Source organism: Homo sapiens, chromosome 2, assembly GCF_000001405.40.
Source record: "Homo sapiens chromosome 2, GRCh38.p14 Primary Assembly".
NCBI classification, from domain to species: Eukaryota; Metazoa; Chordata; class Mammalia; order Primates; family Hominidae; genus Homo; species Homo sapiens.
In genome coordinates, this window is record NC_000002.12 from 55,140,255 (window position 1) to 55,156,546 (window position 16,292).

The 16,292-nt window shown below is 44.2% G+C and overlaps 2 annotated features.

The window, feature by feature from the left end:
- Positions 174 to 757: a transcriptional cis regulatory region, noted in NCBI's record as "candidate enhancer chr2.2087 targeted for multiplex CRISPR interference". NCBI's record gives its function as "positively regulates RTN4 gene expression with high confidence in K562 cells {active_cell/tissue: K562}" and the evidence as "EXISTENCE:mutant phenotype evidence [ECO:0000015][PMID:30612741]".
- Positions 10,682 to 10,731: an enhancer, noted in NCBI's record as "active region_15775". NCBI's record gives its function as "activates an Ori minimal core promoter by ATAC-STARR-seq in GM12878 lymphoblastoid cells {active_cell/tissue: GM12878}" and the evidence as "EXISTENCE:reporter gene assay evidence [ECO:0000049][PMID:35858748]".

Genomic DNA, 16,292 nt, shown 5'->3' on the forward strand with positions numbered 1-16,292 from the left:
AAGATGGTGAAACCCCGTCTCTACTAAAAATACAAAAATTAGCTGGGCGTGGTGGCGCATGTCTGTAGTCCCAGCTACTTGGGAGGCTGAGACAGGAGAATCGCTTGAACCCAGGAGGCAGGGGTTGCAGTGAGCCAAGATCACACCACTGCAGTCCAGCCTGGGCAGTAGAGTGAGACTGTCTCAAAAAAAAAAAAAAAGAAAGAAAGAAAGAAAAGAAAAGGATTGTGTTTGCAGTCTAACTGGTGGCGGCTGCTGTGGACAGGGACACTGTTCTTTTCCTGCTTATGTGCTAAGCAAAAAGAAGTGGGGAGAGGAAAGTCCTGTGACCCTGCTCAAATGATTGCCCTTTCCACCCACTCCCCACCCAGCTGAGTGGTCCCTAAGCTGCATGGCTGTTCTCTCATTTTCTCAGGTGATAAGAATAAGAGAGGTGTTATCTGCCATGAACAGCCACTGGCTTTAGGGGCTGATGGTTAACAACACATGACCTAGCACTCTTCCTCAACACCTGCAAGTCCTGGTTGCATCAGCTTACACAATGCTGTTGAAAAGACAACGTGGGTAGATAACAACTCAGGTCTTAAAGGTCTTTTCCAAATTATACTCACTTAGTTTCCTGGCGTTGCCATAACAAATTAACAAACTGGGTGGCGGATCTTAAAGATCTTTTCCAAATTATACTCTCCTAGTTTCGTGGCGTTGCCATAACAAATTAACAAACTGGGTGGCGGAAAACAACAGAAACTTATTCTCTCATTTGGTGGAGGCCAGAAGTCCAAAGTGAAGGTGTTGTCAGGGCTGGCTCCTTCTGTAGGCTCTGAGGGAGAACATGTTCCATGCCTCTCTCTTAGCTTCTGGTGGCTGCTGGCCATCTTTGCTGTACCTTGGCTTGTGGTGCTCATCAATTCCTGACTCCATCTTCACATAACCTTTTCCTCTGGGTCTGTGTGTCCTCTCCTCTTCTTCAGGTGTCCTTGGATCTACGGTGCCCGGCTAAATCCTGGATGATTTGACCTCAAGATCCTTACATTACATTTGCAAAGAACTTTTTATCCAAAGGAAGTTACCTCCATAGGTTCCAGGGGTTAGGACTTAGACATACTTTTGTGGGGGGATGTGTTCAACCCACTACATCACTCAAGCAAAGGGGAAGGGAGAAGACCAGGAAACCACACTGAACCCCTACTGAAACCTGTTGAGAATTCATGGGACAAGGTGGGGACTGGAGTTATTCAGCCAAATTATGGTATGAAGGGCAATAGGGGTGCTGAAGGGGCCTTCAACATTGCTATAGTAGGGAAAAGGGGGCATTAGCTTGGGATCCGAAACCCACGGAGGACACCAGGTGGCTGGAATGACAAAATCACGTTGTATGAGCCCCGTCATCAATATGTCTGTTCCTGCTCACCTCCCCTTCCTCTCACTTACCCCTACTGAGTGAGCTATGGATAACCCAGAGCACTTTACCCTCCTGGGGGTGTGAACAAGACAGCAGCCTGGCTGAGCCCCAGGAAACTCTCCCAGTGGCCTTTTCTGTCCAGGACTTTGCTGTCCCGCTTTGTGAAGGTCAGCTAACTCTGTCCACTCTGAGACTGCTCAAGTGAGTGCACTTCCACAACTGGTGTATTAATACAGGATTTGGCACTTCACTTTCTTCTGCTGCTGTTAATGTTTACATTGTAGAAGGAAGAGGAAAAACCCTCAGTTAACAAAAGATCAGAAAAAGGTACACCAGGCTGGGCAGGGTGACTCACAACTGTAAACCCAGCACTCTGGGAGGTCGCAGAGGATTGTTTGAGACCAGGAGTTCAAGACCAGCCTGGCCAACATAGTGAGAATCCGTCTCTACCAAAGAAAAAAAATTTAGCGTGTCATGGTGGTGCACACCTGAAGTTCAAACTACTCTGGAGTTGAGGTGGGAGGATCACTTGAGCCCAGGAAGTCGAGGCTGAGGTAAGCCAAGATCATGCCACTGCACTGTAGCTTGAGTGACAGAGTGAGATCCTGTCTTGAAAACAAAAACAAAAAAGATTCTTAAAAGAAGAAGGCACACCAGGCACAAAAAGTTATACTCTCTGAGAAAGAGATTTAAAAAAGTATTGAATGAATAACTATTTCCAAGTTTCAAAGGAAGTGTTCCTGAAGTTCTTAATGTTATCTCCCTCCAATAAATCGTTGCCAATTGTGTAAATAAACAGAACAGCTTTTTATTTCCAGCTTATAGTTATAGTTACCAAGAAAACTTCTGAGGCCAGAGGTGGCAGGCCTTTGGTCAAAGCCAACACTATAACATATGTTTTGTTTTTCAGGTTTAGAGTCCATTAACAGTTGAAAATCAAACTTTTCCCTCACAGTGCTAGAAAGAAGAAGTCTGGTGAATGTAATCTGAGAAAGTTCTCTGGATGACTTGAGGGACTGAACTTTTACATTCATCATTTAGCAGGTATTTATTGCTGAGTGTGTATCTTGAGTCGATCCCTCTGCTAGATGCTATGTATACAGCCATGCACAGCAATTCAAACATGGCCCTACCTTCAGGGCGCTTTCTTGAGGGGTAGAGGGAAAGAAGGAAGGGAGACATTAAACTGATGATCACACAAATAATTATAGTTGATCTAAATGCTACAAACCAATGATATGGGGTATCATGGAGGCATATAACTGCACACCTAACAGATGATCAAATGGAAACACAGGACGTAGGTACTTTGCTCCCAATAATAAAGTCTTCAGGGGGCCTCCCCCAAAGGATTTGCACACATTCTCTCTCCCATCTCTCTCAAAAATGGTGGATAGAGCTCCCTGCCTCTCCAGAAGCCAAAACTACTTGAAGCAAATCTTCAGACAGGATTTGGGGCTATGTGCCCAGGTGACCCCTGAAGGGATCCTAGAACCCCCTGGGGTGAGAGAAAGATGCTCTTGGAAAAAGGAATGCAGCAGAAGCAAGTCCCCAGGGCTGAGATTAGAAAATAAGGTTCTAACCACCTCACACCTATTAGGATGGCTACCATGAAAAAAATAAAAGATAACAAGTGTTGGTGGGATGTGGAGAAATTGGAACCCTTGTACTCTGGTCTTAAGACTGTAAAATGGTAGAGCCCTGATGGAAAACAGTATGGAGGGTTCCTTAAAAAATTAAAAATAGAACTACCAGATGATTCAGCAGTCCTATTTCTAGGTATTTATCCAGAAGAACTGAAATCAAGATGTGGTGGAGATATTTGCACTCCCATGTTCATTGCAGCATTATCATTATATTATTATAGTCAAGATATGGAAACAACCTAAATGCCCATCAACAGATGAGTCAATAAATGTGGTAAGAGACCAGGTACGGCGGCTCATACCTGTAATCCCAGCACTTTGGGAGGTTGAGGTGGGTGGATCACCTGAGGCCAGGAGTTCAAGACCAGCCTGTGACTAACATGGTGAAACCCCGTGTCTACTAAAAATATAAAAATTAGCTGGGTGTGGTGGCATGCACCTGTAATCCCAGCTACTCAGGAGGCTGAGGCAAAAGAATCGCTTGAACATGGGAGGCAGAGGTTACAGTGAGCCAAGATAGTACCACTACACTCCAGCCTGGGCGACAGAACAAGACTCTGTCTAAAAAAAAAAAAAAAATGTGGTATGAATATAAATGGAATATTATTCAGCCTTGAAAAAGAAGAAAATCCTGCCACACATGACAACATGGATGAACTTTGAGGATATTATGCTAAGTGAAACAAACTAGTCACAGAAAGACAAATACCTCATGATTCCACTTACATGATGTATTTAAAATAGTCAAACTCATATAGAGAATAGAATGGTGGCTGCCAGGGGCTGTAAGGGGCTCAGGGAATGGTAGCTGTTATTCAGGGGGATAAAGCTTCAGTTACACAAGATGAACAAGTTCCAGAGATCTGTTGTACCACATCGTGACTATAGTTAACAATACTGTATTGTGCACTTAATAATTTGTTACGGTAGATTTTATGTTAAGTGTTTGTATCAGGCTGTTCTTGCATTGTTGTAAATAAATACCTGAGACTGGGTAATTTATAAAGAAAAGAGGTTTAAATGGCTCACAGTTCTGCAGGCTTTACAGGAAGCATGGTGCTGACATCTGCTCAGCTTCCAGGGAGGCCTTAGGGAGCATTTACTCATGGTGGAAGGTGAAGCAGGAGAAGCCATGTCACCTGGCAAGAAGAGGAGCAAGAGAGAGCGAGTCAGGAGGAGGCATCACACACTTAAGTGACCAGATCTTTTTTTCTTTCTTTTTTTTTTTTTTTCCTTGAGACGGAATTTCGCTCTTGTCATCCAGGCTGGACTGCAATGGCACAATCTGGGCTCCCTGCAAACTCCGCCTCCCAGGTTCAAGCGATTCTCCTGCCTCAGCCTCCCGAGTAGCTAGGATTACAGGCACGTGTCACTATGCCCAGCTAATTTTTGTATTTTTAGTAGAGATAGGGTTTCACCATATTGGCCAGGCTGGTCACAAACTCCTGACCTCAGGTGATCCGCCCACCTCGGCCTCCCAAAGTCCTGGGATTACAGACATGAGCTACCGCACGTGGCCAAATGACCAGATCTTGTGAGAACTCACTGATTATCTCAAGGACAACATCAAGCCCTGAGGAATACACCCCCGTGACCCACACAGCTCCCACCAGGCCCCACCTCCAACATTGGGGATTACATCTCAACATGAGATTTGAGTGGGGACAAATATTCAAACTATATCAATGCTCTTACCACAATTTTAAGAAAATAAGAAAGAAAATAAGACTCTAGATTGGGGGTTGACAACTATGGCCTGTGTGTCAAATCCAGCCTGCTGCCTGTTTTTGTAAATAAAGTTTTATTGGAACACAACCACACTGATTCATTTCATTATTGTCTATGACTGCTTTTGCACTCAAATATTACTGCTGAGTAGTAGCAGCAGGGTCTGTATAATCCACAAAGCTTTCTGAAATTCCTGTCTACCCTGCATGAGGGTGTCAGTGACTGGTCATTGTGGCATTCTCCACATTTCTGCTCTTAATATTCTCCGTTGGAAAACCTGAAATGTTTCCCAATTGCCCACTGGTCTGTCACTCAGTCCACAGACTGGGCTTAGCCTTACATGTCACAATTCTAATTCATGTGCTCTAAAGTTGCTATGTTGACTACAGTAGTCACTAGATACGTGGCTATTTAAATTTAAAGTAATCACATCTGGCCTTTTAAAAAGAGAACTTTGCCAACTCCCACTTTAGATTCTTCTGGGCTCTTACCACCACACCAGAATGACTTAACACCTTTACCTGGATTGCTTTGGAAGGAAGAAGGTAAACACAGTAAGTTAATTTGCTAACAACATCAGAGTTGGCCAGGTGCGGTGGCTCATGCCTGTAATCCCAGCACTGTGGGAGGCCAAGGCAGGCCAGGGCGATCAGGAGTCCGAGACCAGTCTGGCCAACATGGTGAAGCCCCATCTCTACTAAAAATACAAAAACTAGCCGGGCGTGGTGGCGCACGCCCGTAATCCAGCTACTCGGGAGGCTGAGGCAGGAGAATCACTTGAACCCGGGAGGTGGAGTTTGCAGTGAGCTGAAATTGCATCACTGCACTCCAGCCTGGGTGACAGAACAAGACTCTGCCTCAAAAGAAAAAACAAAAAACAAAAAAAGAACATCAGAGTTCACTCATAAGCACCTACTGTAATCCAGGCTCTGTTTTGAAAATAGTGCATTTAGTCCTCACATCAACTTCATGAGGCAGGAATCATCATCCTCATTTTACAAGTCAGAAAATGGAGACTCCAAGATGTAAAGTGCCAAAGTTTAAATTCATATTTGAACTTGGATCTGTCTGCCTGTGTGCTTCATCACTGCATCCAACTTCCTGCACCATCTCTGCTTAAACATTTGTACACATTTGTATGGAATTAATGGGAAGAATTCTATCACTTTAAATAAAGCAATGATCAGTAGAAACTAAATCAAGTGAATATATCCTGCATATCAGACAGTATCAGGCTGCCCTTGTAGCCCGATGTCACTGTATTGATTTCCTGAAGGCTTGAAATGCTGGACGTTCACAGTCACTGTTGGGTTTGAATTTTTGAATTCTTGTAGTTGTGTGCTGCAGTAAGGGTGTGGTGTGGGGGTGGGGGAAAGTTTGCTGAATTACAAGACCATCAAAGACCTAGTTACTCCCTGCCTGTCTATTATTACCCCAACAACCACATTACAAACATTCATGCTTCTCATTCAGAAGAGGGAACCAGGATTGTGAGGCAGTTTTGGAAACCATATCAACAAAACACAGTTACAAAACCAGGGTATGTTTAATTCAAACAAGAGAAGACCTGTTAGAAGCATGCTAGCTGGGTATTATGCCAGCAGAAAGCCCTGTCATATCAAGAAGGGAGCAGCCTTCAGTGTGTTCTCTCAGAGGTAAGAATGAAGACCCACACAGATGTTCCAATTTACAATGGTTCGACTTACCATTTTTGACTATGATGCAAAAGCGATATGCATTTGGTTCAAACTGTATGTCAAGTACCCATACACCCATTCTGTTTTTCACTTTCAGTACAGTGGTCAATAAACTACATGAGATATTCAACACTTTATTATTATAAATAGGCTTTGTGTTAGATGATTTTGCCCAAATGTTGGCTCATGTAAGTGTTCTGAGCATGTTTAAAGTAGGCTAGGCTAGGCTGTGATGTTAGGTAGGTTGGTTGTATTAAGTGCATTTTTTACTTACGATATTTTCAACTTGCAATGGGTTGAACACATATCCCCATTGTAAGTCAAGGAGCATCGGCAATTGGAAGTAAAACAGGCCAATTTTGGCTCAAAAGTTGAAAGGATATTCCAACAATTGGAAATATCAAAAAATAAAATGAGCTTCTGAGGGGAAGAGCCCATGGAACTCTAGAGGTATCCAAGCAAGACATTTGTCACGATGCCGTGGTATGGATTTCTGAAATGCTTGAAATCCTAGACTAGTTCACTGCTAATCCAAAAGCCCTAGTCCCTCCAATCCAAAGAGCCCACAGTTCTATAAACAAAGAGACTTGCCTAAGGATCACACCGGGAAAGTCAGTGCCCTGAATCAAATTTGTCCTTCCTAAGTCTTTCCATGTCCTAATCACCTCTCAAATAAATATCACAACCGAAAGCCAGTGCCCATTTCCAACCAAACCCCAGCCACCTTGGGTTATAATCCAGGACTAACTGAGTAATTTTTGAAATAAACATAAGAAATATCTTTCAGGCTGAGTGCAGTGGCTCATGCCTGTAATCCCAATACTTTGGGAGGCCAACACAGGCAGATCACTTGAGCTCAGGAGTTTGAGACCAGCCTGGGCAACATGGCGAAAACCTGTCTCATAAAATACAAAAATTAGTTCAGGTGTGGTGGCACAAACCTGTAGTTCCAGCTACTCTGGAGGCTAAGGCAAGAGGATCGCTTGAGCCCAGGAGGCAGAGATTAGAATCCAAGATCATGCCACTGCACTCCAGCCCAGGTGACGGAGCAAGACCCTGTCTCCAAAACAAAACAAAACAAAACAAAAACAAACAAAAAAAACCTTTCAGTTTGTCAGGTGAAACAGTAAGGTCTCTGGCTTTGGAATAGGCAGCAAGAAGTGAGTGATCAAAATAATAACATTAACTAACATTTCCATTATGCTTTGCCATTTACAAAGAGATCCATGATTCAGTTGATCTCCACAACGGCCCTGGAAAGGAAACAAGACATGTTAGATGTTAGCCATTATCATCCATTTGTAGAGTAAAAGGTGGCCTGGTTCCCCACAATTGCAAAGCTAATACATTGTGACATTGTGACTCAAACCCAAACTTCTACCTTCAAATGGCTGAAGACCTAATGAGTGACACCTTGAAGACAGTAGGGGTCACGTTGGTGGACACCATTTTGATCACTGCACTGCAGAGACCAGCTAAGAGTTCAGAATTTTTACTTCAAATTTGTTTGCAGTCTTTGTAATGCAGGCGGTCATTTGAACACATGAACCTTGGCAAAAGTGAATGTATTGCTGAGAACATCATGCAGTTAGAGTATGCACGTTTTATGAGACTAGTGCTTAAAATATTAGAATGTGTTTCACATCTTGAGGATGCATTCAGATTGAGAGGCTAGATACTCCAAGAGATAATTATCAAGATTCATGCCATTTAAATAGAGGTTGTCTTTACTGTTTATTGCTCACATCGGTGGTATTGAATTTCATATCCTGTTTTCCCATAAGGTCTGGACTGAATCATCTCCTCTTCTGTCACAACACTTGCCTTTGGAGGCTCCCAGAAGGGAAACAAGAAACAATGAGCAAATGATAGGTAGCCTATGTGCTGATTAGAGGCTGTTTGCATACTGTCACCTGCAGAAAGCCTTCAGTGTTCCTGGGGTTCTATTAGGGTGATTAATGGGCCTGTGAATAATTGGAGATAGCCATCTTTGCTTCTAAAACTGAAAAACATCCCTCATCAGAAACACGTCTGCCAGCATTTAAGGCAGTCAAAGCTTTGGGGTAAAGAATTGTTCAAATGGCTATAGGGTAGGTAAGGGGAGATAATTCCAGGCAGGGGAGCCATTTGAGTAAAGGCAGGAAGGCATGAAAACGGAAGGCCTTTTCTACTTAACCAGAGCACAGAACATGTACAGGAGAGCATCACAAGGCTGAATGGAAAACCAGTTCTTGTGGTCATTGATGACTAAAATAATAAATGTCTTTAGAAAAAGCGACACTAAGAAATGCATGTTTTGTGTTAAAAATTCTGCTCTAGAGCTTTATAAATAATTTTAAAGCTTCTGGTGCTCAGTGTTCTCCTTTGAGGAATACGGGTTTATGTGGTTCATCTCCCTTAGTCCCCACTGCAGCTAGGGGAAAAGTGGGATGCTCTCATCCCATCTCACCACTGAACATGGAGCCACTGCTTGGGCTAAATCCGTCTTTTACAAATTTTTTCCCCTACTTATCTTCTCACACAGTATGGACTCTCCAAATGGGTCAATTAAAGATGATAAATGCACAGCTCTTACTTCCCTACTCCAAACTGTTATTGGCTGCTGAATGACTGTACCAGTGGTTCCCAAAGAGTGGTCCTTGGGCCGTCATCACCTGGGGACTTGTTAGAAATGCAAATTCTTGGTGGGGCATGGTGGCTCCCGCCTGTAATCCCAGAACTTTGAGAGGTCGAGGTGGGCACATTTCTTGAGCCCAGGATTTGGGAAACCAGCCTGGCCAACATGGCAAAACCCTGTCTCTACAAAAACACACACACACACACACACACACACAAAACAAAAACAAACAAAAAACCCACAAAAATTAGCCAGGTGTGGTGGCACACATCTGTAGTCCCAGGTACTTGGGAGGCTGAGGTGAGAGGGATCACTTGAGCCTGGGAAGCAGAGGTTACAGTGAGCTGAGATCATGCCACTGCACTCCAGCCTGGGCGACAGAGCAAGACCCTGTCTCAAAAAAGAAAGAAATACAAATTCTTGGGCCCCACCCTGGAGCCACTGAATCAGAAGCTCTGTGGGTAGGCCCAGCAAGCTGTGTGTTAACAAGCCCTCATGTACAGGTGATTCCAGTGCACATTTAAGTTTGACAAACACTGGACTATAGCATTAAGTACCCTCTGGAGCTTGCCATCTGAGAGATCTTGTGTTCAGTCCTTATCGCGTCATCAGCAATATTGAGAGCATGGATGTCACAAAGAGGAACAAACACCATCCATCCCTTTAAAGGATTTCCAAGGAGGCCACAACATTACTCTTCCCATTCAGATCACTGAGGTTGGCCAATGCCATACTCTGCTCATACAACATTTCTCTCCTTTCCCATCGCCCCACCTCTGTTCACTCCCGTTATGTGTGTGTCAATTATCCTAACTGCCCCATCACACTGTGATTCCGAAAGCAAGAACCATAGTTTTTTTCTTCTTTATGTAATCTTTGTTTTCTGTGCCCATCAAACCCAGGGAAACAATTAATGGCAATACGACCGGGTCTTTGATTCCTGATTCTCCACCCAGTCACCACTGGGTTATTAGAAGTTCAAGCTCCACACTGGGTCCCCACTATTCCCAAACATGCCCCATGACTACACTGCTCAAGAGAATTATGAAGCCAGGTGCAGTGGCTCATGCCTGTAATCCCAGCACTTTGGGAGATCAAGGTGGGAAGATCACTTGAGTCCAGGAGTTTGAGACCAGCCTGGTAACATGGTGAAACCCCATCTCTACAAAAAATTAGCCAGGCATTATGGCACATGCCTGTAGTCCCAGCTGCTCAGGAGGTTGATGTGGGAGGACCGCTTGAGCCCAGGAGGTTGAGGCTGCAGTGAGCTGTGACTAATAAAAGAAAAGAAAAAAAAAAGGCGGGGCACAGTGGCCCATGCCTGTAACCCCAGCACTTTGGGAGGCTGAGGCGGGTGGATCACCTGAGGTCAGGAGTTTGAGACCAGCCTGGCCAACATGGAGAAACCCCATCTCTACTAAAAATACCAAAAATTAGCCAGATGTGGTGGCAGGCACCTGTAATCCCAGCTACTTAGGAGGCTGAGGCAGGAGAATCACTTGAGGTGGGGGTTGCAGTGAGCCGAGACTGTGCCACTGCACTCCAGCCTGGGCAACAGAGCAAGACTCCATCTCAAAAAAAAAAAAAAAAAAAGAAAGAGAGAGAGAGAGAGAGAGAGAATTATGGTCCCTCACTACTTCCCCTAGTGAAAAGAGGAGACCAACAGAGCCCACTGCTGCTGGCAGCAGAGACCAAGGCCTTGTCTCCCACTGGCCTGTCGCTCACCACGTCTCACAGCTCAGCTTTCACTTCTGTCTTTCATTGCAGAAGGGGAAGCATCTCTTTTCACCAGTGATGACAATTCCTGAGTCCTATAAGACTCCTCCCATCTGCCAAAGAAGTCTGATATTTTCAACACCTGTGAAAAGATGGGAAAAAAAGAAATCTGGTATTTATAGCTCTGTCTGCAGATGACTGAGGCATTCTCAGAACTAGACAAGACAGTATTGAACAATACCTTCCAATGTCTTACTCCCACCAACCGTGAGCTGGTTGTTCAAGGTCAGGATAAACAGAGATGTAAATTTCTTCCACCCCACAGTAAGTTCCTTCTCCATGTAGGGTATCAGGATCATCCACTCTCTCCCCTCTTGGTGTATAATTATGAATATACATGAAATTTTTACAATCCTAGGACTCAACTTAAGTTTCAAAGTAAATCTTAGGAGACTCTCAGAAAAAGATAAGCGCTGATGGCCTTTCCTGATGGCCTAGAGCTCCTGGAGAGGTGGATCCTCATTACATTCCTTCTCTGTGGTGCCTATCATGGCACTTTCACCATGTGAAAAAAGGGAAATGTTCGACAAGCAAATAAATGCATTATCAAAATTTCGTCTCATCTTAGAAAATGCAAAGCAAAGCCCAGAAGAGAAGGCCCATACGGGTAGTTAGTTTTTAGGAAAAAGTGAGTAGAAGGAAAGTTGGGCAGGTCCCTGCCTGGGCAGTGCATATTCAGATGTGCAACAGGCATGTAGGGGGAAGGGAGGCTGGAGGCCTGAGGCCTGGGCAGGTGGAGAAGGGCATGTGAAGAAAATGGACATATTGGGGCTGAAAGAGGGAAACAATAATGTGGAAAAATGAGACAGGAAAAGAAAAAGAAGTCAACATGGGAAGATGCCAAATATCTATTTTGCCAAGCCTGCAGCTAGCTCAACAGAGAGGACCAGAGTAGAGAAGTTTCAGTATAAACAAGTAAGAAAATGACCTGGGATTTCTGTACAAATGACTCTGTCCTCCAAAGACAGGCAGGGGTAAGAGTCTGTGTCACCCAAATATCTAAGAATCCACTGTGGAGGTCCTAGTCTTAGTTCTGGTCTACATTGTCTATCCTCTCTGGATCCCACAAGACTTAAGAGTATTTATCATACTTTGCCTATGAGAGTGCAGCTGCCTCCTGCTCTGGAGTATACACTTGTTCTTGGCAAGAGCAACATCTCACAATGAGTTTCCAGCCATCACAACACCTAGAAGGGTATGAGCACAGTGTAGACACTTGCTGATGGGACTGCAATCAGAGGTGAAAACCAGAAAAGTGGTGCAGACTTTTCAATCAGCCTTGCAGGAGACAGCACTAATTTTGCCACCCTAAAAACCTTTCTTCAAGCTCAAACACCTAGTCCAAAGGATATATCTGTCTGTTAAATATGCTCGCAGGGCTGCTCAGATGAGACAGTCAATGAAGTGCCCTTTCAAACTTAATCTAACAACTATTCTGAGTGCTCAGGATATGTTAGGCGCTTTGACGGCACTGGGGCTACAGTGAGAAGACACAGTCCCGATTTCTTGAAGCTCACAGTCTGTTGTGAAAGATCGCATTAAACAGGAAATTACATGCATGATGAGGGTTGCCAAAGCATCCTTGGAAGTGCTCAGAAATTCAGAGATTTCACTTCAGAGTGGTCGATTCTTTGCTGTGGTATCATGTTGGCATCTCCTGCTTACCTCAGGGGTAATACATAAGGCAAAACAGGTCATATTTCCCCCTTGAGACTGCAGGGAAAAAGCTTAGGTTGCTCTACCAACCACCAGCTGCTTGGTAAAGCAGAAATAAGAGCAGTAGCAAACCAAGAAGTAAAGGGCCCTCGCCTTCTGATATGTATGAGGCGTCTATAACCCGGGAGGTCCTCATACAGGCCAAAAGGTGTTTTCCCAAGTGGCAACTCTGCTTCATGTCAACTCCAGTAACACCTGGAAAACTGTGAGCGCCATCTTCCTCCACCCACCACCATAAACAGCAAAGAAATCTGGAGTAAACAAAGAGGACCTCTGAGCAGCGGGACTCCTGTGCTTAACTTCTCAAAAAAGGAGGGCCATGTCAAAGTTCTTACTCCTACTGTGTGAGAAATAAGGCTATGGATGAGAAGCAACAGAACATGAGGCAACAGGGAGAAATGAAAGTAGAGAGTGTGAAAGGCCCCAGGGGAATAAAAATATAGCTATTTGGGGACAGTTAGTGAAGGGGACAAAAGGCCAACTCCGTGTATCTCTACTGCCTTGCGAGTATCACCAAGCTGCAGCGTTATTGTACAGTCTCCTGTACTGACAGTCCCAAGTCATGAAAATAAAAATATTACATGAAATATATCACATTTAAAGAAGCCAAGGCTGTATCACAAAAGTTTAAAATCTTCAAATTTTGTACTTCAAGAGGTACAGGCTTTAGATTCTAGAAAAATATACTATTTGCAATATATCATTCCCTGAGAAGCCTAGAAAGTTAGAAAAGGAGAATGTTACCATATATAAGAACTGGCTCTTAATGCCTGCCTTATTGTGCATCTTTCCTGAGTTACTATTAAGGTAGCGATTGCCACAAATAGGGAAAATGTCTTACGCATGAAATATTGATGGTGATTACGTAATACAGAAATTTCACAAGTATTCTGAATGTTGTATACAAAAACTCCTCTGAAGAGCTAATGTTAGGGCCTGGGGAATTCTGGTCCTGGCAACACATCAATTAAAAACCAGCAGCTACTCCCCAGGTATCAAAGGCTGCGATCCCCTTGAGGGGTTGCTGACAGCCCAGCAGCTGAAAGAGCTACCCAAACCGGTACTGATCACTAGACAATGACATTTAAAGGGCATTGAATACTAGGATAACTCTGTCAGGGCGCCATTTGTTAGATCCAAATGCTTGCATTTTCAAATGGCAAACCCTTTTCAGGAGCAGATGTATGGCAATGCAGGCCTAGCTGTGCTGAGAGCCATGGAAACTGTTTTGCAAGCTGCTATCATTAAGCAAGTAATAACACTCCGAAACCGGGCTTCAGTGCATAATTAAGACAGGTTTTAACTCATCAGCCACCACACCCATCGTCTGAAAGTATCTTTAAAAGGGAAGTATGCATGTAATAAAATGAACTAGGGCAAAGTTAACAGCTTCCAGATAAGTGTTATTGCCAGAAATCTGGGCCTTCTGGAAGCCCCAGGACAGAAACCCAATCCTCAGCGACCCCTGCCTCTATTCTTCTGAACAAGTGGGTCACATGCATAACAGGAGACTTGCTGTATCCTCAAAGTGCAAGAGGGGAGAGGGACCTGGGTATGCAGTGAGTCTCCCCCAGACAAAGTCTTTCCTTTTCTGAGCTTTGTTGTCCTCTGCGGTGCTGGGAACCAGAAACATTGCAGGCTTCTACATGAAAAAGGGTGAGTTCAATTTCAGATGGTATTTCAGCCAAAGGCAGAGGTTAGGAAAAAAAGGGCACTGTGCTGTACCCACCACAACCAGCCTAAGTACACCTTGAGGTTAGTGTTGGTACCAGTGCTCTACACCAAGGGCTCTGCAGCCACCTTTTCTGCTAGGAGCCACCTTCTCTGGGCAGATTCCACTCCTTTGCCCTCAGATATCTGAGACAGGTGGCCAGGAGCCAATGGAGTTTTGTGGAAGGGAATGGCTTTGGAGCCAGGTGAGCCTGGCTTACAATCTGGCCCTACCACTTATTAGCCAGAGTTTGCCAACGGTCCCAGCTCATCTCCCACAGCACATGCTCTGACACCATCCTATGTCAATCCCTCCTCTTAGTTATGTCTGGTTCACATGGGACTGAGCAGGAGCACAAAGAGACTAAATCCCACAGCACACCTTCCTCCATATGGCCTTCTGAACTCAACCAACAGTGACCCTCCCCCACCCCGCCCCACGGGGAACTGTGTCCACTCCAAACATCTGTCTATCCCTCAAATCCTGGCTTTTGCATCACCATCGCCAGTTCTGGGGAAAGGTGTGTTACCTTTCTTCTCAGCAGGCTAATTCAGATGAGAGTCACTGAGCCTGGGTCAAGAACAGGCAGAGTGCTCCTGCTTGTTGTGTAAAAGGGACCGGCTTCATCAGAGGTGAGCCAGTTTCCACCACCTTGCAGGACTCCACATCAGGTCTTGTTCTCCACTTTGCAGATTATTCTCCCACCTCTCCTGGTTGAATGCCTCTGGATACCCAGCTCTGGATAAGGGCCTTTTCTTCTGAGACTTGGTAGCCTCACAAAGTACTGAGGGGGATGACGCTGCCAGAAATCACTGAAGAATTCCCTTGTCTCTGTGTCCTTCCCGTATGTGGACAGTTAATGTTTCCATTGGAAGACCTAGGGTCTGGAATTCCTTGTTCATTTAGCTGGATAGTGCCTGATGTTTAGCGTTAGTAGGATAGTACAAGTGTGGCTTTTATAAGTAGACATTTGCTTTTGTGCCAGCAGCGTGACTTGAACATAGTAGGGACAAAAGTATCTGTTGAATGAATGTTCATTTTATTGGCACTCCTATCCTCTCATTTCATGTCTGGCTGTTTTTAAAATTGTACCTTGAGTGAGGATATAGCAACTTTTATAAATACTAGTTCAAATTAAGTTGCTTTAGAAAAGCCATTAGAATTTAGCCACGCTCAGGAGAGCAAATGCAAGGACCAAAATTATCCATCTCATTAGTAATTTTTCCTGGTAAAATAGCACAGAGCAATGTCAACTGTTATTCCATTTCAGAGACCACAGGCATTCCTCTGTATTCAGGGAGAGGAAACCAAAGCAATTTTTTGGGACAAGTTCAAAAAGCCAAAGAATTTACCAAGCTAGAAAGGTCTCCCCAGGCCTATAAGACTTTGCTGCCACAGTCACTAAGACAATAGCAACATAATAGATATTGGGAGCATCAGCCCAGGCTGCAAAGATTGCTATTAAAATACATTCATGCTTGAACCCTGATTTCTTTTCTTTCCACTTTTGCTGGCTAATTCTACCGCAGCAATTCAGAAGCTCTGTAACACAGAACTGCTCACTCTCTCTGCACATTCCTCATGCCAATCCTCTTTGTAAATGTTTGCTTTAAACATAATCTGCAGCTTTACTAAGATTATGTCCTGAGCACACATTTTTTAGTCATCTGAATCTCTGGGATGGGAGAGCTGACACTTTCCTGCACCCTCAATTTTTGCCTCCAGCTTTATTCCTTAGACTTCTTCCAGGCTTTTCTGCTCTGATGGGGGCATTTCATAGTCAAAGACCTACAGAATTCTTGAAGACAAAGATCACTTGTTACCCTTTCTTTGTGTCTGCTATGTGCCTTGTGCATGGAAGGTGCTTGGTAAGTATTTTTAGCAAACCAGTCTACTCGTTGCTTCTTGAATTCATTAAGCACATTCCCATCTTGGAGCCCTTGCTGAAGCTTTTTCTCCTGCCAAGAATGCACTCACTCCCTGCTCCTTTCCATTTATG